Below are 26,281 nucleotides of genomic sequence, written 5' to 3'. Positions count from 1 at the left end.
ACCTGTAGTCCCAGCTACTTGGGAGGCTGAGGCAGGAGAATTGTTTGAACCTGGGAGGCAGAGGTTGCAGTGAGCCGAGATCGTGCCATTGCACTCCAGCCTGGGTGACAAAGTGAGACTCTGTCTCAAAAAAAAGAAGTATCAGTATGATCTCATCCATAGTGTGTTAAGCCTCCTCCTCATTCTCCCTCTACTTTCTCTGCCTACTCAAAGGGCCTAGAAATAATGACCAATGTAGCCATGACCATAGCACCCAAATCCTAAATTTCTAAATAGCATTCCCCACTAAGAGATCAAGACTTCTTAGACAAAGAGCTGAGGCAATGAAATTACAAAACCAACAAACGAAAACCAAAACTAGGAACATTATGTTATGCCAGAAAATAAGGAACTTTTAGTAAAAAAAAGTGATACATTCAGATCTAATTTAATGATTTTAACTGCTACATAAAATTATATTGCAGAGTAAATCTCAATTTATTTTCCATTCTGCTACTGAAAAGCATTTGAATTTCTTTTAATAATGACACAATTAACATCCATACACCTGTTTCCTTTTGTACATTTGTGAGAATTTACCCGGGGCATAAAAGGGCTTTTTTTTCTTCCCCAGTTTATCTTATATTTTATGACCGATGTTTTTAAACTCATTCATTCTGCTGAGTGAACTAAAAAGGGTCATAGTTTGAGTCCTTTCTTGTTTTACTATTCCATTTCTACCATAAAGATGCTTATCATGCTTTTTGATCAAGGTTATATTTTTCTTTCCTAGGTTTTTATTATAGTAAATGAAAACATATGTAAAAATAGAGGTGATATAATGAACACCCATGCTCCCATCACCCAAATTCAGTAATTATCAACTCATGACTCATCTTGTTTCAATGATCATCCGTGGCCCCGATGGATTATTCTGATGACTGTGCTTTTTAGTTTTCTCTTTTTATATTGTATCTGTCATTGCTATAGACTGATAGTGGCAGAGGGGACATGAAAATACCAACTGGTATCATCTTAGCATCATAATCTATTTCATTTTTATTCTTTTTTATTTTATATTTTTAAGAGATGAAGTTTCACTCTGCCACCAGGCTGGAGTGCAGTGGCATGATCATAGTTCACTGCAGCCTCGAATTCCTGGGCTTAAGCAGTCCTCCCACCTCAATCTCCCAAGTAGCTGGGACTAAAGGCATGTGCCACTATGCCCTCTACTTCATTTTTAAATGCTTCTTTTGAACTCCAGCTTTATTCCAGAGCCCACTGAGCACAGCTCTCATGGATTTAAAGCTCCAATAATTATCATATTTTGGCATAATGCCATATACATAAGAAATACCATGTGTCAGTCATAATGGGAGTAGAAATGACAATCTTCTATCCACAAATCTTTGCAAATTCACATACGGTATTATGCAATTTGTAATTTAAATTACACAATTTAAATCATTCATTCATTTAACAAATATTCACTGACTACTACATTTTAAGAATTATTTCAAGTGGAGTGAACAATTAAGATAAGGTCATTCCATTTATATTACATATGCAGTACATATATATTTAAAGGCTTTCATATTTATTTGATCTTAGTTTATATAGTGCAGTTATCCGTATTAGCAACATCTCATAAATGATGAAACTTAGGCTCAGAATGAAAAGAGATGTACTGAGGGACATACAGCTAAGTAGCAGCTCATTAAATTACTGAACAAACAACAGAAAAGAATATTCCAGTTAAAAAAAGGTATTTGCTATAAGTAGCAAATATTAGGAAACATATTTTCAGAAAGTGTCATTTTTTTTTTGAAAGAGTGTGTGTCTTTTGTCAGGAAGAAACAGCTGAAAAAAACTTCAGGGAAAACTGTTAAGTATTTAAATTGATTCCACTACATAAAAATAATCATCAAATAACACTGAAAAAATATTTACACACGTGTGATTTTACTGGGTTTCTATCTCTGTTTACATTTTAAGACAGCAGTGACATCTAAATAAAACAAAAACAACCAATATAAAAATACAATATAAACCCAACAAACTGCCAAAACTGCATGCATTTGTGCAAAGAAGAATAAGGTAAAAGTAAAATTAACAACTGATTGTTGGTAAAAACTCAGGTGACTTTGATGCACCCTAAAAATAGAGAACTACTACTGCAGCCATTTTAACTACTTACCTCTTGACTTTATCATAGTTCTCTTGACGGTAGTCACCTTGCTGAATTAACTGTTTTGTGTCTGCTAATTCTAAGGCCAAACGTTGACATCTAATTTGAACTTCAGAGTAGTTTTTTCGATCTTCCTCATATGTCTATAAACCAAAGGAATAATAACACATTTCAGACTAAACACTTAACATAGTTGCCCAAATTCTGTATTGAAGTCTTCTGTTAAGCTGTGATTGTCCTTGTAATTAAACAGTAAAAAAAATTCCTCAATTTTTAAATTTAGTAATTTTTCCCTATTCAAAGGCAAGTAATCTTAAGTTCACAGAGTGGTCTGTAAACTCAGTTGTTTAAAACTTAAACTGTTTTTCAAATAAATAACACAACAACTATGTTTTAGTTACTAGGCTAAAACATAAAATGACTACAAATGTTAAATGACTTTTTAAAAACATTTACTGAGTTACTATCAGATGCTGAAGATACAGAAGTGAATAAAACACACTTCCTGTTCTTGAGGATTTTACAGTTTAGAGATGAAAAGTCATATGGATATCAGTATCTACAATGAAAAATAATTAATGAAGAGATTAAACATGCAGTTCCAATTGTGTTACTCAGAAAAAAAGGAATCGTGTGACCCTCGAAACACATCTTTACATTGTTCTTCCCTCTACTCTCCCCATGTCAGTAGCATGTTAAGAAAGGCATTGCTGATATGGGAAGAGCAATGGAAGTAAAAACCTTAAAGTTGGTCACAAGGTTCTTTACAATCTGGTGCTGCTTCCTACAAGCCCCATTTCTCACCATTCCTAACATTCACACTTCACCCTCCAACCCTAATGGAGATCTGAAATTGTCTGAACCCACTAATGCTGCTTCTAACCTGTTCCCACTGCCTGAATACCTGCATATAATCTAAATGCTTGTCTCCTTCAGAGCACTGATCTCACTGTATCATTACCATCACATTAGTTTTCTCTTTATCTCACCAGAGTGTAAACATCTTAAGGGTGGGGATTTTGTCTTGCTCAACGCTGGACCTCCACCACTTTAAACACTGCCAGGTATATAATAAGAATTAAATAAAAGCTAAAAAAGAAATGATTAAATATGGGAAGCTGGGAGGGGAAGCAGACGGGACTAAATTCCTACTTATTTTCCTTCTTTGAACTCATCAAATCTTGCAACCAATCATCAACTCCACCTTCAGAAGCTGGCATGTTAAATGCATCCTGTGTTAAGTCATTACTGCTTAAGTAGCTGGCCAGCTAAATGAGGTCATGTTCACTCCACACATACTGACTGGATCATTTCTGTGTGACTGGTCACGGATTAGGCACTACAGATACAAAGATGAGTAAGACGATTTTGTCCTTTTTAAACTACTAAATGTAACTTTGATTATTTTAGTCCCCAAATTTCTATCAAAGGGCTATTTGAGAGAAGTAATTATGGAAAAACTACATTCAGTGTGTTTTGCTTTGGTATGGTATTATGTTCTTGTTCTACGCTGAAGTTTTCCATGAGAATGGAATGTTACTATGGTACTTATTATGGGATTACAGCTGAGGATACGCTATCACCTCCCGAAAGATCATCACATATATCATTTCGGACCTAAGTCCTACAAGAATCTTTAGTTCTTCTGAAGAATGCTTTATCCTTCTAAACATCATTAATCATGTCACTGTTTTGGAAGAGAGTATAGTGTTATGGCTAGGAAGGCAAGCTCCAGAATTCAACTGTCTAAAACTGAATTCCTGCAGTAAGACTCTGTGCACGTTAGTTTACCTCTCTATTCTGGTGTCCTACCTCAGAGTTCTTGTGAAGCATATATCAAGTAATACATGTAAAGTGCTTATAAAAATGTCTAACGTAGTAAATGCTGATTAACTATAAATTAATATTGTTATAATGCTTCCTCTTTGCTTTGGCTTCCAAAGAGATCATAGCCAAATTAACAGCTTAATAACTGTGCAAACGCCATGACAGAATTTGGAGGAACATAAATACAAGGAATATAAACATTAAAGGATGGGCAAAAAACAGGGATCCCAAAAAACCCAAAGGAGTATTCGCAGAAACAATGGGTAAACCAGGGGTGTGTGTCAGGAAAAACAGTGGAAGACAGTGCTTTGAAGCAGTCAATAATATTGAGAAACACTACTGATTGGTACTAAGAAATATTACCGAGAACCAACAAAAAGCCTTTAAAGTATTTAGCGGTAGGGGCAGAAGGTAGAGTGTTAGGGACTAAAACAAATATATCTAAATACTCAGTATGTCCTCTTTTTTGGCTATTTTATATACATTGTCGACTTAACACTTATGATGGGATCTAAAAATTATCCCCAGTTTCACAGATGAAAAAAACTGAGGCTTGGAAAGTCTCAGAGCTCGTAAGTAGTAGAGTGAGGACTCCAATCTAAGTTTGTCAAATCCAAATCAGTCGGCAACTCTTTCTACAGTTTAATAGTAAAAGTGGAGAAAGTATAGTAGCTAGAGAAGAAAACAGGGCCAATGAAGGTTTTAAAAAATGAAACAAGCTTGACAATATTCAAATATTGGTGAGAAACAACAGCAAAAGATGAATTACTGTTGGAGAAAAGGGGGCATACTCAGGGGAATGAAGCATACTCCTGAAAAGGGCTTTAGGAGATGGGATCCACAGCTTAGATGTGCAGATTAGTCTTAGATCAGAGGCCATGTTCATCAAGGCAGGCTTTTTTCCAGCTGATACAGAGTATTAACAACTTGAATAATTTAGATAGCTCTTATCAATTTGCTACAGGCCACAGCCTAATCTTACCCTACGGCTTCACAAATTTATATTATCCACCTGGTTTCTAGAGGCATATGATTTTCCCATCCCTTGAGGGCGAGACTCTTTCCATTATAAACACTAAGAACAAACAAACCAGAATGAGTGCAGATGTGAGTAGATTTGTTGGAAGGACACTGTGGGAGTTCTCATCTGAAGATTTCCATTTTCTCTGTGAAATGAAATACCAAGTCATCTGCTGAATGCGACAAGAAACGTGGAAAACTGGAGATGTAAGAAGAGTGGCTGGTTGCCTTAAGTAATCTCTGCGAAAAATGAGAGAACTAGAAATAATAGAATTACGACCAATTGTGTGGGTCCATTTGAGGCTGATAACAATAAACTGACAGTGCTTGTTACTGCTTGTGTGATTTTTGCCAGTAGTGCTCAGCTAGAAAAATAAAGAGTTGAGAGTTTTTCAGTCTGGTTTGATAAAAAGAAAGCTGGGAGAGGAATTAGATGATACTGGCAAAAAAAAAAAAAAAAAAAAAAGTTTAAGACTGATAACATGGTGGCAAGGGAAGAAAATAAATTTAGGAAAGGATTGATAAAGAAACAAATTATATGGATTGGAAATTCTGTTAAAGACAAGTTGAAAGCAGACAATGGTAAAACATAAAAAATATAGGAAATAAGATGTTTAGTGGATGAAAGTGAATTGGTAACTTCAGAAGTAAATCAGTTCTGGATGGCAAGGAACCAAATGTGGGCTATAAGACTGAGTGTTAAAATGGAGAAAAGGCAATCACTAGAGATGAGATCAATAAAATTCAAGGCCAAGGCTATAGATGAATTAATCACATAAGTAACCTAGGTAGCAGCTGAAGTGGAAAGGAAGACTAAATCTAGAGCAAGGCTTTCATTAAACAAAGAGGAATGTCCCAGTGGTCTGCAAATGAAGAATACTGTAAGTTGGGGTATCCAGATGATGAGTTCCAAAGAAGCAGTGTTTTCTGTGAGTGCAACTGCAAAGATCTAAAAAGGTAAAGATCATCTGACTCTGAAATATGCAGAGTATTTTAGGATATTCAGAGAGTAGTTCCATGGAAGAATAAATATACAGAGTATATTATTAATGTTATATACATAGTGTATATATATGTATATATTTATAAATTTCCTTTAAATATAAACACCATATGCAAGTATAAACAGAAGCAAGTCTAAGTGCAGTATAAGAATGCACATATTCGACCAGCACTTTATTTACAATTTTTCAATTGGACAATTTCCCCTTAAACGAAATTATTACTTTCGTATTTTGAATTTAAAAATCTCCTGCATTTATTGTTAGCAATTAAAATAGAGTAAGCCATAGCATTGGAAACAGGAAAAATAGCATCTTCCCTCAAAATAAACCCCATGACTATGTAGAACCATTGTTAAAGCTATAGAGAGTAGAAAAGACTATTTTGTATTCTCCTCTGCATCCTTCCATGTCTTGAGCTTAGCATCAACCTTTGTGGGAAGACTAAGCTCCAGCAATAACCTAGAGTTTATCCTATTTTTTCACAACACCTGATTCTTATCTGTCAGAAAATGTATCACATGTGCTGTGGGCAGCCATTACTTGTCTCCCACATCATAAGGAAAACTCTAAGGAAGTTTTCTGTAATCCTAGTAACTAATACTCTGCCTATTATATAGAAGGTTTGCAATTAATGTCTGTGGAAGAGGAGGAACAAAAGAGGACATTAAATAGACTAAAACAAAAGAAGCAAAAAAAGTAAACTTTTCAAACATAAAGAAATGGACACATAAAATTTCCAGTCATCAGCCCTTACTAACAGAAAATTTCTACATCACAGTAAATGGGATAATAATAGCCAAGCCTCAATTTCTGTTCTCAATAAAAGGCAATTACTATGGATGTAATGAATTTCTAAACTCCATTTAAGTCTTTTGTCTCTCCCATGATGTAAACTGAGAAAAAAGCAGCAACCTATGTTTCAAAATAAATCTTTAATAAATGAACAACTCCTGTCTGTGTGGAGGACAACTAAGGAAATTGGAAATAGAATATAATGACATTTACCTTAAGGTTCAAATCTGAAGCAGTTTACATTGGACAGCAGTTCAGTGAATGGTAAGAAATAGTTGGTTAGCTATTCTGGAAAACTAAGAATTCACTTGTCAGAATTCCCACAAGTTTCACATTATCAATAATCTAATCCAGGCAACTAAATACTGAAAAGAACAAGAAACCTAATTAAGCTTTGACTGCTATAGGCTGTCCCTTTATAAGCCACAATGAAGTCTGTTTTGCTGCCAGAGACAACTCTTGTCATTGTTAAGATCTTCAAGAAATTTTTCAAAAAAAAAATTGATTCTAAAGACAGACAAAATCTGAAGTGGTAAAGTCTGCTATGCATTAAAACAAAAATCTTAATAATTTCTATTACATGCTAAATTTTCAATTATATCTATTTGAATACATGTGAATTCAAATAAAAACTTAAGGCTTTTTTTTTTTTAAAGAAAAAAATAACTCAGTAATTTTTTTTTTTTTTGAGACAGGGTCTCACTCTGTTGCCCAGGCTGGAGTGCAGTGGTGCAATCTTGGCTCACTGCAGCCTCAACCTCCCGACCTCAGATGATCCTCCCACCTCAGCCTCCCAAGTAGCTGGGTCTACAGGCATGCCACCATGCTCAGTTAGTTTTTTGTATTTTAGTAGAGAAAGGGTTTTGCCATGGTGTCCAGAGCAGTCTTGAACTCCTGGACTCAAGGAATCCACCCGCCTCAGCCCCAAAAGTGCTGCGATTATAGCCTCCCAAAGTGGGATTACAGGCGTGAGCCACTATGCCCAGCAAAACTCAAGAATGAGGAAAGGTAACTTTCATCACATGTGGTGGACCCTAGATTGGAATAACAAACATGGGTTCAGATTCTGTCTCTCCTACTTTTTGCTCTAGCAAGTCAACTTTTCTGGACTTACCTGATGCTTCTGCAGAGTGTGTATACTAACTGATTCATTGGCTCATTTATTTTTATGTGGTTATTATTGTAGTATAACACTCTATTACTAGTATTAAGACATCACCCACTAGCTAATGGGTCTAGCAGACCCCACCATTGCAAAATGCTACACTGATGTATTAGGAGGCAATTTTTATACCCAACATTTTATTCAGCAAACTACTGTAACAAATTTGAAATACTGGCTTCTCAACAGGCATTGACCCAAATATGATTGAACCAAACAAATTTGAATCTTAATGTTAAAGAGACCAAGTTGCTAAATTATCTTAAAAGTATCACATATTAACCCCCAAATTTATCAATGCAAGAAAAGTATGGATTCTCATGCCTTTTGAATAATTGAGATAAGCCTTAACAGTATTAACAGTGTGATGGTGCATGCCTGTACTCCCAGCTACTCAAGCGGCTGATGTGGGAGAATGGCTTAAGCCTAGGACTTCAAGGCTGCAGTGAGGTGTGATCATGCCACTGCACTCCAGCCTGAATGACAGACTGAGACCTTGTCTGGAAATATAGATCAATAACAATTAAAAAGTATTAACACAGGTGATGGAAAGGATAAAGTCCTGTACCACACTTCCTCCCTCCAACAACCCCTGCAAATTATCAGGAAAAAAAGGAGACTATAACTGAACTACATTTGATTAATATGTTAATCATAAAAATTGCTATTTTAATGAGCTTGTCTTACTTAAGGTACGATGCTTCCATGTTCCAAGATTTTATAGTTTTCTTCAAATGAATCAATTTCTTTTCTTGCTAGAGATGAACGGTGGGGGAACATATTTCATTCACAAGGTAACAAACTCATATGAAGAAAGCGATAAAATCTTAAGTGTTCAACACTAATTGCTGTTGCATCTGATACGTTAATGTGTTCATGAAGCTATTCTCCATGAATTTGCTGATGCAATGGATTATTCTTTCTGTGCTGGAATATACTCTGTTTAATCATAAAGTATTATTCTTTTGATACAATGGTAAAATTCATTTAACATTTTATTTCAAATTTTTACATCTGTAGTAATAAGCAAAATTGGCCTAAATGTTTTATTTTGCTTTTGTAGTCTCTTTCTCAGAACTTTCTTTTTCAATAGTGGGTATAGTATAAGTAAGTGGAACTAGCTGTCTTTTTCTAAATCAACTGTGAACCCATTTGCAGTAATCTATCTGTGAACCTGTTGGTAATTTTATCAGTTGTACACTTTTACTTATTTTTGTAATACCTCTATGGTAACTGTTCTAAATCAAGTTCTCACTTCTGTCAATTTTAGTAATCTATATTTTGTTGGCACAGTTCACTTTCCTTTTTGTTTTCAAGCTTACTGCCATAGAACTGTATGTATTTTCCCTTACTTCATGTCAGTTAATTCCAAACACCTTATTTCTACTCATCTTTTTCCAGCTTTCTCAAGATGAGTACTACATGTATTTATTTTTCATCTTTTTTTTTAAATAATAAAGGCATTTCCGGCTACAGATTTTCCTTTGGCATAGCTTTAAATGTGTCTAAGAATTTTGATATAAAAATGTTCTCATTTTCATTGTTTTATTTCAGTTTTTCTTTGCTCTTTAATCCAAAAGATACGTTTCTAATTGCCAAGTAAGTTTATTCCTCCTCATCTTTAATCTCTGGTTTCACTAAATTATGATAAAAAATAGAAACTATATAATCTGTACTTAAAATTTATTATATAATTTTTTACTTAAAAATTATTTAAGTAATTATTTTTCAATCTTTTTTTTTTTTTTTTTGAGACGAAGTCTTGCTTTGTCACCTAGGCTGGAGTGCAATGGCGCAATCTCGGCTCACTGCAACCTCCGCCTCCTGGGTTCAAGCAATTCTACTGCCTCAGCCTCCTGAGTAGCTGGGATTACAGATGCCTGCCACTATGCCCGGCTAATTTTTGTATTTTTAGTAGAGACAGGTTCACCATGTTGGCCATGCTGGTCTTGAACTTCTGACCTCAGGTGATCCACCCGCCTCAGCCTCCTAGAGCGCTGGGATTACAGGCGTGAGCCACTGCACCCGGCCCATTTTTCAATCTTTATCAATTTTCATTAAGCATATTTCCTATAAACAAATAGAGCTGGGCTTGGTTTGAAGGTCATAATAAGAGTCTTTCTTTTAACAGAACACTGTACATCGATTCCCTCACCTAGTGGAGGCAAAGGAGACTTTATCCACCTTATTTGGGGTGAGGAGTGAAGGGAGTAATCCATAGATTTTTATAGGCCGAGCTCTGCCGACAATCTGTTCTGCTCTTGCTCAGGGTTCTCTCACACTATTTCTAGGCTTTCACTCAAGTCAGGGGAGAGAAATCTCAAATTTTGTAGCTTATCTCCAAGACGGTCTCTATCAATTTCTTCCCTTGTATGCAGGAAGCTATTTTCTGATTAAGAAGTGGGTCCATTCCTCTTAATGATCTGCTTAACCAAAAGCATGTGGGAGAAGCAATTTTCTGGGATTTTGAAGTTACATCCTAAGAAGTCTTTAAGTTTCGCCTGAGTTTCTTGAATATTTGCTTTGGAGGTGGCCAGCTGCCATGCTGTGAGACTGCCATGTTGAAGGATGCCTAAACTAATCACATGAAGAGGCCAAGTGCAAAAGGGAGTAATGTTTTGGTCATATCATCCTGGCTCCAAACTGGTGACTAAAGAAGACTTCAGATGACCCCAGCCTCAGTGAGGTAAGAAAAACTCAGCTGAACCTATCAACCTTCAGAGCTGTGACAAATAATAAATTATTGTGAGACAGCAAGTTTTAGGGTGATTTGTTATGCAGCAATACGTAACTGGAACACTAGCTTTCCCAAAGCTCAAGACTTCCACTCAGATCCAGCTGCCTGCCAGAAGACAGCTGAGAGAGGGATACTTTGAACTGGAAAAGAAAGGAAAAATGACATGCATTCACATTTTCATCTCCTAGAATCCCTTTACTTCCTCCTTTCAACTAAGCCTAAACAGCAATGCTTATTCTATTCAGTAGTTAATGTTGACTATATAATTTAACCTTAAAATAGTAAAATAAGTAGGAGTTCATTTAGCTTTGAGTTTGGCATGACTATGCTCAGTAGTGTGACAACTCTATATTGTCATCATTTTTCTCTATTTGAACTGTGAAACTTTTATTCATACAGTGATGCATGATAGCACCTGGCCTTTATTTGGCTGAAATACCTATCTTACAAATTAAGTTGATGGCTATTTCTTTCTTTTCTTTTTTCTTTCTTTTTTTTGAGGCGGAGTCTCACTCTTACACAGGCTGGAATACAGTGGTGCGATCTTGGCTCACTGCAAACTCTGCTCCCCTACCCCTACCCCGGGCTCAAGCAATCCTCCTACCTGGGACCACAGATGTGTGCCACGACACCTGGCTAAGTTTTTGTTTTGGGGTTTTTTTTTTGTAGTTTTTTGAGACAGGGTCTCATTCTGTCTTCCAGGCTGGACACAATCTTGGCTCACTGCAACCTCTGGCTCCCAGGTTCAAGCAATTCTCTCATCTCAGCCTCCCGAGTAGCTGGGACTACAGGCCTGCACCACCACACCCAGCTAATTTTTGTATTTTTTGGTAGAGATAGGGTTTCACCATGTTGGCCAGGCTGGAGTTTTTGTATTTTTGGTAGAGACAGGGTTTCACCAGGTTGGCCAGGGTGGTCTCGAACTCCTGAGCTCAAGCAATCCTCCTGCCTTGGCCTCCCAAAGTGCTGGGATTACAGCCGTGAGCCACTGTGCCTGGACAGTTGACTACTGTTTTTTTAAACTGTGATCTGTGGTGCTAATGCCATGACAAAATTAAATGCAAACATGGGCAATGACATCATAGTGATAGTACTCTATTATAAATTATTCATTCAGATGAACCATCATATGCATCTGTTAATTTCTGAGGTCATTAAAAAAATTAAATCATAAAGTTAAAAATTATCAAAAAGAACTCTTAGATACTCCAAAACATATCTGTGGAATCTGGCTTAGAAACACTATGCAGATCAAGAGAACGAAGTTATCATGGTATCTCTGGATTTAAACCAAAGTATTTGGTAAGGTCCCTCCTGAGTTTTCCCGTGCCATCATGTAGTGATACATCCTTTTGGCCACTGGGTTCAAAATTTCATCTCAAAACCCAATAAGCCCCTCAAAACTTGCCCCTAAAATTTACAAGTTCCTAGATTTACTAAAGATTATACACACAGTAGCAAAGGGAAAAAAAAGTCTTATGACTCTTTAAAAGATTATGTCTCTTCATACAGCATGTATAAAACAATCAGCTAAATGAAACTTCTTCCCAATTATGTCGTACTTAAAATTGCATTCATTTTAGCTTTCCCATGAATTTTTTTTCCCTCATGCACTTTTATCGTAAGCCATTTGTATTATTTGTAAAAACTTAACAGGTTTGTGAAGGAGCAATTTTTTAGAGGTTTTAGAGGTATAGGCAAGAGAGGGATTTTAGTAAGTCCAAGTTGTAACGTAATAGTGTATGACTTCAATTATATTCTTGAATATGTTAAATATATTAAAACATATTAACTTTATATTGGCGGCAAGAAATGGCATTAATATATACATTTCTCTCTCTTTTTTTTTTTTTTGAGACGGAGTTTTGTTCTGTCACCCAGGCTAGAGAGCAACGGCGCGATCTCCGCTCACTGCAACCTCCACCTCCTGGGTTCAAGTGATTCTCCTGCCTCAGCCTCCCAAGTAGCTGGGATTACAGGTGCCTACCACCACACCCAGCTGATTTTTGTATTTTTAGTAGAGATGGGGTTTCCCGATGTTCAGGTCTTGAACTCCTGACCTCAGGTGATCCATCCACATTGGGCTCCCAGAGTGCTGGTATTATAGCAGTGAGTCATGGTGCCCAGCCAATATATAAATTTCAAATCAGGAAATGTAATTAAAAATTCAAAGTTATTTTTAAATCTCAATTAATAAGTTAACAAAAATAGCTTAAAAAATGATTTGTGGTCAGTGTCCATGAACCCGCCACATTAGAATCTTGGGTTGTTTATTAAAAATTGAGGTTCTGGCTGGGTGCGGTGGCTCACGCCTATAATCCCAGCACTTTGGGAAGCCAAGGTGGGCAGATCACGAGGTCAGGAGATCAAGACCATCCTGGCTAACACAGTGAAACCCTGTCTCTACTAAAAAGATATACAAAAAATTAGCCGGGAGTGGCAGCGTGCACCTGTAGTCCCAGCTACTCGGGAGGCTGAGGCAGGAGAATGGTGTGAACCTGGGGGGCGGAGCTTGCAGTAAGCCTATATTGTGCCAAGGCACTCCAGCCTGGGCAACAGAACGAGACTCCGTCTCAAAAAAAAAAAAAAAAATTGAGGTTCTTAGTTCCACCTCAGACCAAAATAGAACCCATGCAGGTGGCTATGAATCTAAATTTTAAGCAATGCTTATACATTTTAAATTTAATATAAAGAGGCAAATCTATCACTGTTTACTAATTTGTTAAGCATTCTAGGATAATTATAACTGATGGGTATCATCATAAATATGTACCTTACAAAGAAACTTTAAGCTCATCACTTGGATAAGATAAAAAGAAATCTCAGAAAACAGTTAACACTCCCTAAAATATAAAAACTTTAATAAACAAATATGTTTCATCAATGAAATAACTCATTTTCATACAAATAAAATTAACTGAATTACTTACATATGAATACTTAAGATGAACCTCAAGATAATCTTGCAGAATTTTTTAAAGAATGTAACTATGTTTCTAAACAAGGAAGTACTCTTGACAAAATTCTTCTTGCTTCCTAGTTACCAAAGTTCTCATAAGAGAAAAATATTTCACCATTTCCTCATGAAATTTAATAGTTTTATTAAGTGCAGATTCACTAATGCCTTACACTGTATCTCTAACATCACATCCTTTTGATATGAAAAAGCATGCTGAACTAACTCTATAATAGCAAAACAGCAACATATAGCTGAGTTGCATGTGATCAACCAAAATTTTGACCTGCTAATAGAGAAAATTCATAAATAGGAAATAAAGTTATCTATAAGCACTTTTATAAACATAAAGTACCATACACAAGATCATATACATAATGTAACTCAAAATAAGCCAGAATTAGACTACATTACTGACACTTTTAAATAAACTCCGGACTTGAAGTAAAAGATGAGCCCTATTTTCCAGTGTTATAATAGTATCTAGATGTTATTTGCAAATAACTAAAGATCTGGAAAAAATTACAAAAGGAAATCCCAGAAATCCACTAAAACTGCCACTTCAGAAAGAGTAATTTCCTTTTAAAGGTCAAGAATCACATTCTGGCCAAGCGCAGTGGCTCATGCCTGTAATTCCAGCACTTAGAGAGGCCAGGGCAGGCAGATCGCTTGAGGTCAGGAGTTCGAGACCAGCCTGATCAACATGGTGAAACCCCTCTCTACTAAAAATACAAAAATTAGCCAGGCATGGTGGCGCATGCCTGTACTCCCGGCTACTCGGGAGGCTGAGGCAGGAGAATTGCTTGAACCCAGGAGGCAGAGGTTGCAGTGAGCCAAAATCATGCCATTGCACTCCAGCCTGGGCAAGAGCAAAACTCCATCTCCAAAAAAAAAAAAAAAAAAACCAAAAAAAAACCTTCTATTAAATTTCTTAAACAGTTTTAATCTCATACAAACAAAAGCAGAGTCAAATTAACTGTGTAATTGTGTGGCTTTAATGATTTCATGTGGCTTTAACAGAATTTAAAACCCTGAATGTTTTTGGTTTTAACAGAATTAAAAATTCTCAATATTTCTGGTAGGCATAATTATGAAATTAGTGCAATAACTGAGACATCTCTGAATACATATTATGGAACACAAATTTTTGTTTTGATACTCCATTCTCCAAGTTCTAAATATATTAAATTTTACTAGAAAAAGATACTATGTGATTGATTGCAGGCATTTTATATGAAATAATGAATATAAATGAAAATAAGGTAACTAAATGTAAAGCTTTGGGTCTCTAGCTCAAAAATAATCACATTTTCCAAATAGCCCCCAACAGGTTTAATTAAAAAAAAAAAAAAAAAAAAAAAGGGACATATACTGCCCCCAAGTGGTGAAAAAAATTAAGACCATTTTGGATAAGAAAGATCCATAAAGTAAAACGGAAAGACTGAGAGTAATTTTATTTTCTCCAGATTCATGAACTCTCTGTAGAGAATAAACTTTTTAAGTAAAATGGAAAATTTGTTTTCTTAATTGCTGGTCTCAAAACTCAGAGATATGCCTAACAAATACCTTAGTTTCTCTTAGTAAACCACTATGGAGTTGTCATTATTGCTATCATTTTCAGCATTTAGGTGAGTTTCCTGGTATTTTTTGTTTTTGTTTAGTAGCCCTTAGCCTGAGGCCAGTCCCATTCTGTGCCAGGTTGGATGGATCAAGGTGCATGAGAAAATCTTTGGTATTTATGGGAACTGCAGCTGCTCTAAATGAGGAGGAAATTTCAGAGATAGCCAGAGAGGGGAAACTGAATTCTCTGGGTAATTTCTGCTTAAGTATCTGGCTACCCTCTAAACAACATATGTGTAGGACAGACTCTGAGCAGCCCCAATAATACCAAAAAAAATTGAACTGAAATTTGAACACCTGCCCAATAGACAGAGTATGCTGTTTGAGTACAACCAAGTAATTTCCTGCTAAAACAAGAACATCACCACCGTTTAGAGGTACATAAAATGCAGAGTCTCAACAACATAATACTCACAATGTTCTCATCTACACTTACTCGATGGTCTAAACAATTTTAAGTTACTTGACATCTGAAGAAAGAGGAACATGTGACCCATTTCTAAAAGAAAAGACAATCAACAGAGATCAACTCCAAGGTGACCCAGTGTTTGGAATTAGCAGACAAGAATTTTAAAGCTCCTATTTTAACAATTCTCAGTGGTGTAAAGGAAAATATGTTCATAATAAGTAAACAAATAGAGAAATAAAAGCTATAATAAATAACCAAACTGAAATTCTAGAAGTAAAAAATTCCACACTTAAGTACTTACTCAAGAGAAAAAACATGTCCACACAAAAAACCATACTCAAATGTTCTCAGAGCTTTGTTTGTAAAGTCTCTGAATCGGAAATAACTCAAATGCCCATTAAATGGTAAATAACTAGAGCCATTCAATGTAATACCACTCAGTAATGAAAAGGAAGAAATTACTGACAAATGGAAAAAAAAGTTCAGCATTTTCCCATAAAATTAAATGTGACTGGCAGATGGATAGATGGAGAGGTATTTGATAAGACAAATACAATAAAAATGTTAATGGCAGAAATTTACTGATAAATATACTGGTGTCATTGTGAAATTCAAGTTACGTTTGAAAATTTCTATAATAAAATGGCAAAAAATTACACTCTGGGGCAGGTGATCAATTTTGAACATGCTAATTTTGGGAATATAAGCTGATTGATAGTTATTAAAAAGAAAACACATTCATTTATAATCAGTCCACTTACCTTTTGAGACCTTCCTCCAATCTGCCCTACTAGTTTGGTGTTCCACTGCTCAGAAAAACTTTACTGTCTACAAACTTGAGATTATACTTTGTGCTTCCTCATCAATAAATGTATTAAATTTTTTTTTTTGAGACAAACTCTTGCTCTGTTGCCCAGGTTGGAGTGCAGTGGCACAATCTTGGCTCACTACAACCTCCACCTCTCAGGTTCAAGCGATTCTCCTGCCTCAGCCTCCTGAGTAGCTGGGACTACATGTGTTTGCCACCACACCTGACTAATTTATGTATTTTTAATAGAGACGGAGTTTTGCCATATTAACCAGGCTGGTCTCAAACTCTTGACATCAGGTGATCTGCCCACCTCGACCTCTCAAAGTGCTGAGATTACAGGCGAGAGCCACTGTGCCCAGCCCAATAAATGTATTAAAATGTTAAATAATGAATAAGATTGGATTTAACAGTTGTATCTGAAGAATACTTCTATTTTTGTTTTTCATTTAGTTCTTTTTATTCCTTTTTTTTTTTTGGCTCTTATCCTTCACCTACTAAAGAGAAAACAATTTCCTGAGAATTCATGATAACACTTCTTACAAAGTCTGCCCATTTCTCCCAAGAGGTAGAAGCAATTCAGGTATCTATTTATAGATGAATGGATAAAGCAAATGTGGTATATACACACAATGGAATATTATGTAACCTTAAAATAGAAAAAAAAAAAAGCGTAAATTAGTTCAACCTGACTGTGAAAGACAATTGTGGAAGACAGTGTGGTGATTCCTCAAGGATCTAGAACTAGAAATACCATCTGACCCAGCAATTCCATTACTGGGTATATACCCAAAGGATTATAAATCATGCTACTATAAAAACATGCACACATGTTTATTGTGGCACTGTTCACAATAGCAAAGACTTGGAACCAACCCAAATGCCCATCAATGATAGACTAGATACTGTGGCACATATACACCATGGAATACTATGCAGCCATAAAAAAGGAAGAGTTAATGTCCTTTGCAGGGACATGGATGAAACTGGAAACCATCATTCTCCGCAAACCATCACAAGGACAGAAAACCAAACACCACATGTTTTCACTCATAAGTGGGAGGTGAACAATGAGAACACTTGGACCAGGGAGAGGAACATCACACACTGGGGCCTATCAGGGGGTGGGGGACTAGGGGAGGGATAGCATTAGGTGAAATACCTAATGTAGATACGGGTTGATGGGTGCAGCAAACCACCATGGCAGGAGTATACCTACGTAACACTACCTGCACGTTGTGCCTATGTACCCCAGAACTTAAAGTACAATAAAAAAAAAAAAGAAAATTCTGTCACATGCTACAACATGGATAAACCCTGAGGGCATTATGCTAATTGAAACCAATCACAAAGGGGCAAATACTGTAGGACTCTACTCATATGACGAATCTAAACTAATCAAAATCATAGAAACAAAGTTAAAAAATGGTTACCAATGACTGGGGGAGGGGAGAGGGAGAATCAGTGTCTAGTGGGTAGTTTTCAGTGTTGCAACATACAAAAGTACTAGAGATCTGTTGCACAATGTGAGTATTCTTTACTGAATTGTATACATGAAAATAAAGTCTTAAATTTAATGTTATGTTATTCACTGTAATTTTTTAAAAGCCTGCCAATTTTTAAAAGCTAGAATTTAAAACCTGTCAATGGCTTTTTGAAAGTCTATATAATTTGTTCTCTATTTTCTCTTTATATATATGTGAAATATAATTTGTCCATTTGTACCACTCTGTTGACCTTCCCCCATAAGGGGAAGTATTTAACTTGCCTAAGTATTCACTGATCCTAATCTTCATGCATTACACAAGCTCAGTAAGCATAAAAGAGTGCTTTATCAGTTTTAAGTGTGGAGGTCTTTAGTTTCTAGACTCAGGCAGGCAATTTACCAGCTTTCAAGCAATTACACCTACTTCAAGTGCTCTGTTTGATAGCAATATTATACATGTGCTGCAGTTTCAGGTTCATCCTTTAAGTCCCTTAAAATTCTTGGGTGAATACCATCTAGTCATGTTTTTTTCCCCAAAGCTTATATTGTATCCAACTTTAAAATTACATAAAGTCATTAATAAGACTAATGTTGTTTATCTTAAAATATCCAACCTTAAATAAGTATGAGTTGAAGAATAAAATATTTGTTGAATCACTTTATGAAGATCTTTTGAATAATGTCATATGAAAAATTTGGATCATGTCTTATTAAAAGTTAGTAACTTCAGGCCAGGTGTGGTGGCTCATACCTGTAATCCCAACACTTTGGGAGGTCAAGGCGGGCGGATGACGAGGTCAGGAGATCGAGACCATCCTGGCTAACATGGTGAAACCCCGTCTCTACTAAAAATACAAAAAATTAGCCAGGCGTCGTGGCGTGTGCCTGTAGTCCCAGCTACTCGGGAGGTTGAGGCAGGAGAATGGCGTAAACCCAGAAGGCGGAGCTTGCAGTGAACCGAGATCGTGCCACTGCATGCCAGCCTGGGCGACAAAGCGAGACTCCATCTCAAAAAACAAACAAACAAAAATTAGCTGAGTGTGGTGGTGGGTGCCTGTAATCCCAGCTACTTGGGAGGCTGAGGCAGGAGAATCGCTTGAACCCGGGAGGCAAAGGTTCCAGTGAGCCGAGACTGTACCACTGCACTGCAGCCTAGGTGACAAGAGTGTGACTCTGGCTCAAAAAAGAAAAAATTTAGTAACTTTATGGTGGTTGCAGCTATATATCATGGACCTTGTCCTGAAACTTACTATGGCAGTGTATCTTACTTATTGAACACTTATTGAACAAAGTAACACTTCCTTTTATTTGTCAAATTTAGGAAAACAGAATCAGTGTACACACTTTTACTGGATATATTTTCAATTTGTTCACTACAAAATAAAATATTAATTCCTCTGTTAGGACTTAGAACAGACACCTCGAAACATGGCACCCTGGCATACTGAGTATTTTAACCTGAAGGAAATTAAGAAAACTGCAGAAACAGGGGGGTCTCCCTGACCTTCTCCCAACCCATCTCTCTTGAAGTGGGCCACATAAATGAAAATTCCCCTTGCCTCTTTCTCCCTTGAAGCAGGTCATCAAACCTAGGAAGGCCACTCTCTTTCTCCCTCCCCTCTCCCCTAAGGTGACAGGCGTCCTGCCCTATACCTAATGGGAAGGAATGTCACAGACAGCCCAAGAAGAATGTGAACAAACAAGCCTTGCTAAATTCTCCCAGTTGATTACCATCAGATCATACACTTTTGTCTTCCAATCATACTTATGCATGACAATCCACAAAAATACATTTTCCCTGGGTCTTTTAGTCTTCATTTCTGAAGGTTCCCATGTCACATAAAATTTATATTAAATTATACATATAAATTATACATAAATTTGTTATGCTTTTCTCTTATTACTCTTTTATTATTGGAGTCTCAGCCATAAACCTTGCAATGGGTGAGGAAAATATATTATTTTTTCTCCCACTATAGTTAAGAGGAAAATTTACTCTTTTGGGTCAAGAAACTTAAAATTAATGACACCATTGGAAAAGTCGAAATTTTCTTGCTACTTCCTTTGGATATGATGGGCATTTCTCTGTTTTTATTGTCTGCTTCAGGCCAACAATAAGTATATATATGCAGCCCACAGACTGAAGAGGAAAGAAACATGAAATACCACTGGGCAAAAAACACTCAGATAAGAACATTCCAAGTAACAGAAGAAAAAACAGAAAACTTCAAATGAAAAACTGACAATTTCATTTAGCACTTTCATAAATTAGGGGTTTGTGATTAGTTTTAAAAGTCTAGAGACAATGGTTCTCACTGATGACAATTGAACCTCAGTAACCTGACAGTGTCCAATCACCTCTTCAACCTCCCCCAGCCTCATTTAAATAACCCAGATCTTTTTGTAAACCCTCCTCTAGTGGTCATAACATTCTCTATCTTCCTTACTCACTTATAAATATATTCTTCAGTTGTTTTTTAAATCGAAACTCAACTTTTTGTGACATAATTAAAACTCTAGCTATTAAGAGATAAATTATCTCACTTTACTAAATTATTATTCTTTAAACCACTATTTAGATATTAAGAAAGTCCCACAGAACTAATCAGGAGTAATTCAATCAACAAACACCCCTCTGTTCTAGTAGTTTCCCCAAATATCATAATCACAGAAACACATACTATTGGCAATACCCCAAATATACATGACTCTTTTTATTACACGGATAGCACTAAAGTGGGGAGCCTTAAACATAACTATAACTGGGTATCCAACAGTACTACCTACACTGTTGGTTAACAATTACATGAATGTCCTTCTACCGTTGTCGACAATGAGAAAATTTTTATGGTTACAATGTGATTTTAAATACAACAGCTGTCATCTCTCTTAAGGAAAAAAACAAAAAACAAAAAACAAAACAAAAAAACAAAAAAAAAACAAGCCTTCCCTGGCTCCATGTTTCCTGTAATTGCCAACTCTCTTTGTTCCTCTATACAGTAGTATTACTCAGAAAGAGTTGTCTATACTCTATGTCCAGTTTATTTCCTCCATTCACTCTCAAACACTGTAATCAAACTGCTGACCCTATCCCTCCTCCAGAACTACTCTTGACAAGGTTTTCAATGACCTTGTTAAATACAATGTCAATTCTTAGTCTTCATCTAACTGTACCTATCAACAGCATTTGAAACAGCTGATCACTCTCTTTTCCTTGACAAACTTTTGCCCTTTGATTTCCTGGACATAAAATTCTCTTAATTTCCCTATTTCACTGGTAACTCCTCCTTCTCTCTCCCACATTTCAATGTTGAAGTGCCCTGGAGCTCAAGCTGTGGTCTTCCTTCTCTTCCCTACACTCACTCTCCTTTGGTAATCTCATCCTGGCTTTAAATATCGTCTTTATGCTGATGACTCTTGAATGCTTATCTTCTAAAGTTCACACCTGTATATCCACATACCTTTGACTGTACATCTAACAGATCTCTCAAACTCAACATGTCTAAGATCCACACTCTTTTGCACTCAAGTCGGCCTCATTCACAACCTACCTATCTCAGCTGAACAGAAATCTATCCTTCCAGTTATTCAAACTAACATTTTTTAGAGTTAATTTGACTCCTATCTTTCTTTAACATCCTCCATCCAATTCATGACTCTACCTTTTTTCTATTGGCTCTACTTTAAAATAAATCCAGAATCTACCACTTCCCCTGCTACCATCTAGATCTGAAACACAATAATCTCTCCCCTAGATTACAACAGCCTCTTAACAAGTCTCTTTGTTTCCATCCTTATAGCTCTACAGTCTGTTCTCAGGAGAGAACTTTCTTTAAAAAACATTATCCAGGACAACAGGAAGGTTTTAAAATACTCATTAAAAAGAAATTCAATAAAGAAAACATTTGTTGACGGTCTACTATGTACCAGCCAGAATGATACCTTAAATAGACTTGACCCTTGGACGATACAGGGGTTGGGGTACCAACTCCCATACAGTCAAAAAAAAAATCCATGTGTAACTTTTGACTCACTGAAAACTTAACTACAGATAGCCTACTGTTGACTGGAAGCCTTAGTATAACATAGTCTATTAGTACATATTTTGTATGTTATATGTATTATATACTGTATTCTTACAATAAAAGCTAGAGAAAACATTTTTTAAAAATCCTAAGAAAATACATTTACATAACTGTACTGTATTATGGATGCTCTAAGTTTTACATAATTTGTTTACAAAATTAATGGTCTCTCCAAAATGGTAGGCAACCCATTAACTTTTTCTTACAATGTCATAAATTTTCTCTGCTGCTTGAGAGCTCTTCCAGCATCACTGGTGACACTTCATATGGTTCCCATGGTGTTATTCAAGGCTTACAGTTCTGCACTAAACATGATGAAAAATAATATGCCAGAACTGCGAGAAATCACTTTTTATTGTGATTCACATTTTACTGGAGAACTGCTCATGTGGGGATGATTAGCATCATACAGCGTTTTAAGCAGATATCCCAAACACTTGAGTTTACCAGAATAGCCAGGAGGAGGCTAAGAAATTATTACAGTAGTAAAGTATGTACTACAGCTAATTTTATGCAGTTATGATTTAATACTGCATCTTTACGTTTGTTTACATTTCTCTCTACTGAAAATAGCACCATGTAAGGTCTGTGTATGCATGCTTTGATAAATTTTAACTTTTGATAATAGATTTGTGTACATTTTATGGTAGTAAATGATAAAATATAGTACCTACATATATTTTATGCATTCATTACATAACTTTTTCTTGATTTTTTCTATATTTCTAGGCTACATAGTTCATCTGCGAGTGTCACAAACCTCCAAAAAATTTTCCAGTATATCTACTGAAAAAAAAAATCTATGTGTAAATAAACCTACACAGTTCAAACCCATGTTGTTCAACAGTCAACTGTACATGTCAGATCATGTCAGACCTCTTTCCAAAATCCTGCAACTTTTCATTTCACTTAAGGTTAAAATCAAAGTCTGTATGATGACCTCAACAGACTCATTACCTCTCTGATCTTAACTACAACTATCCTCCTCCACCCTTCAAGCATACCAGTCATATTGCCCTCCTCACTGTTCCACAAATACCAAAGTACCCCCCTGCCTTTGCATTGGCTGTTCTTGCTACCTAGAAGCTCTTCCCTGAGCTGTCTCAAGGAAGACAGCCTTGTTCTCTCTCTCACTTCCTCAAGGCTTTGTAAACTTCTAAGCTGTTTAATGAGACCTACTAGCCAACCTTACAGAATTCTGACAATGCTCTCTTCCCTGCTCTCCATATAGCACTCAATTCACCTTATCTTGAACTATTTTTTTCTTTTTTCTATTACAATTATCAACTTTTGTCACACTACATGATTTGCTATTGTTTTCCCTTTTAAAATACAATATACATCTCACAGATATCCTTTAAAAATATAAACTCCATGATGGCAGGGATTACTGTTTTGTTTAACAAGGTATCCCAAGTACCAAGAATAATGCATGCCGTATATAGTAAATGCAGGATACACATTTATTGAATGAATTTCATTCTTTATAATATGACCACGTGTGGTAGGTGTTACATGTTATCGTCCCTATTTTACGGACGGAGAAGCTGTTAAGATAGGAGACAGACTGTTTTTTATCCAAGATCATCACATTGTTATCAAGTCGCAGAGATGAGAAACTATGTCTTTTAATTCCTCAAATAAATAGCAGTAAATAATTTAATGAACCATTTCAAAAAATAAACTCCAGAATATGTGACATTTATTTGAATATTGAGTAGTACTATTTATTGTTTACTACATCCTGTTTGGCCAGGTGCAGTGGCTCACGCCTGTAATCCCAGCACTTTGGGAGGCCAAGGCAGGTGGATCTCTTGAGGCCAGGAGTTCCAGACCAGTCTGGCCAAAATGGCGAAATTCTATCTCTACTAAAAATACATAAATTAGCCAGGTGTGGTAGCGCATGCCTGTAAGCCCAGCTACTGGGGAGGCTAAAGCACGAGAATCACTTGAACGCAGGAGGTGGAGGTTGCAATGAGCAGACATGGCACCACTGCACTCCAGCTGGGGCGACTGAGCAAGGCTCTGTTTAAATAAATAAATAAAGCTGTTTAATGATATTGGTTTTGCTTTTTATTTAAAAATATTTACTTTTTTCCTAGTGTTTGGCAAGTTGACCTGTACCAGGTCCTTGACAGGGCAGAAAAACCACAAACTCTAAGAATGGCCTGAGGAATCTGTGTTCAAGAGAAATCATGCTGAGAAGTCCCAAATATTAAGGTTATTTTAAAAAGGGTGGCTTGATAAAAACAAGGATAGGGAGCTCCTCCAGCCCTCCTACTACACAGTAAGAAGTCCTTGAGGGATGCTGAGGTACCATAAGGTGTATAGAACCAACGCTAAGACCTTGTCTAACTGCCTCTTCCCCAATAACCCCTGTACCACCAAAACCATCCTGGGCATTTTACAGAAACAATAGAGTATAAATGATTTGCCCAAGGCTGCAAAATTAGAAAGTGGCCAAACAGTGGCCTTCTCTGTTCTCTACTATTTTGACTACAGTTGAATTTTTTTTTTAATTGAACTATCTTTCTAAATGTGCAAAACAGTTTACCTGCACAATATGACATGCTAGGAGAAGAAAAGAAAACAACTGAAGTTTGGAGTGGGGGCACATCTGCCCCTCTAATTGCTCCTGCTGATGTCACTGCTCCTCAGAGGAGAGGAAGCTAAGCCTTCTTATTTTGTCTGAAATATTGGTTCTATGGCAAGACTTAAGTAAATTATCTCTAAGACTAATAGTACAGCAAAGTAGAGCATTAAAAATACAAATTAAATTATAATTATTTATTTCTGGATAATATCATTGACAAAAACTGCCCTTAAAATAGGACATAAATGTTTGTATGCAACTTTGCTAAAATCATGTTTTTACTCTGAAACAGAAATATAGGCAATGCAATTAAATAAATGAACAAACAGTATTATTTTCTCCATTTGACAGAACAGGAAACATTAAATGACCTGGTCATGGTCACACAGTAAATGAGAGTGTCAAAATATCACCTAACGTTCTAATCCTAACCTGCTAGAAAGTAAACTCTAGAAGGGCAGGCATTGCCTCTCTTGGGTTCACTGCCAGCACCTAGCACAGCACCATGCACACCACTGGGGTTAATGCTAGTATCAGTACACATGCTCAGAATAAATATTATGAGAGTTAACTGCACTTCACAAAGAAGCCACGTAAGTAATAAATGGACAGTAGCTCCATCTCATATCACGAACAAGGCTAACTTGTAATGAAGAACTGCAGCAGCCCCCATTTGTAAACTAGAAGTGTTTTCCTTTTAGAATAACGAAATATTTGAAGAAAAACAGCCACCCATTTCCAACTGTTACATGGTAGAATGAATCAATCTACCATTATTTTTTTGTTAGTAGACTATAACTACAAGATAGTATTCTAGGATATCTGGTCAATAATACAACCAAGTTAATGATTAGTCCACCCTTCTATATAAATGTTGATTTATGATTACTATATTCATCGTCTAGGCTGAGATAATTTTGAAAATAAAGGGGTGCTATTAATATTTATTCACAGGAATAATGGCAACAGTCTTAGGCAAACCAGAACCTACGAGTCAACTTAGTTCAAAGTAAAAATATTCTCCTTTTCTTCTTTCTTATGGCACCTGCAAGAGATCCCCTGCATAGCTTGGCCTACATTTCTTGTTTCTTGCTTAAATTTCCTGACAAAGTGATGTTAAAAATAGAGACAAATTACTAAATAAATACATGCATATGCGTCATCTAAGGATACACAGCAATTTTCAGATATAGCCCATATTAGGATTTCAAAAGCAGTTGATTATAAAATTGACTTGCAACAATAAAAGCTCAACTATAGGATACGTCAATAACACAGACTTGTCTTGTCAATGTTTAAGATGACTACTTCCAATTTAACCTCCTTCCCATTATTGAACTGTAGCAGTCACCATCCCATAGTCCCATTTTTCAATCACTGACTTTTATATGCCTTATCACAAATCCTGAGGGACTCTACAGAAAAAGCCGAAGCTTCTTCCCACCAGCAATCAAAACCATACAAACCTCTGTCAGCTGCTTCAGTTGGTTTTTGTTTGTACTTAATTCTTCTGCTAGGATATTCTTTTTCACTTGTAGTTCACAGATTTCCTTTCTTAATGGATTCACTAGCTCATAGAAGCGAACCTTGAAAAAAATTAAATTAATAAGCAGTC

The 26,281-nt window shown here is 36.3% G+C and overlaps 1 protein-coding gene across 16 annotated transcripts in view; it reads right to left on the bottom strand.

Annotated features, from left to right (window-relative positions):
* PIBF1 (progesterone immunomodulatory binding factor 1) overlaps positions 1-26,281 on the bottom strand; it is a 234,329-nt gene that overhangs the window by 192,303 nt on the left and 15,745 nt on the right. For all 16 annotated transcript variants that reach the window (NR_146205.2, NR_146206.2, NM_001349655.2 and 13 more), the window contains 2 exons: positions 26,133-26,252; positions 2,177-2,310 (listed from right to left, as the gene is read on the bottom strand). Coding sequence is in view for 14 of the 16 variants with exons in the window: in NM_001349655.2 (NP_001336584.1) it covers positions 2,177-2,310; positions 26,133-26,252 (254 nt within the window). In the remaining 2 variants the exon portion in view is untranslated. The remainder of the gene's footprint in view (positions 1-2,176; positions 2,311-26,132; positions 26,253-26,281) is intronic.

The sequence above is a fragment of the Homo sapiens genome, chromosome 13, assembly GCF_000001405.40.
Source record: "Homo sapiens chromosome 13, GRCh38.p14 Primary Assembly".
NCBI classification, from domain to species: domain Eukaryota; kingdom Metazoa; phylum Chordata; class Mammalia; order Primates; family Hominidae; genus Homo; species Homo sapiens.
Note: the sequence above shows the minus strand (reverse complement) of the source record. Positions and strands in the feature narration are given on the sequence as shown.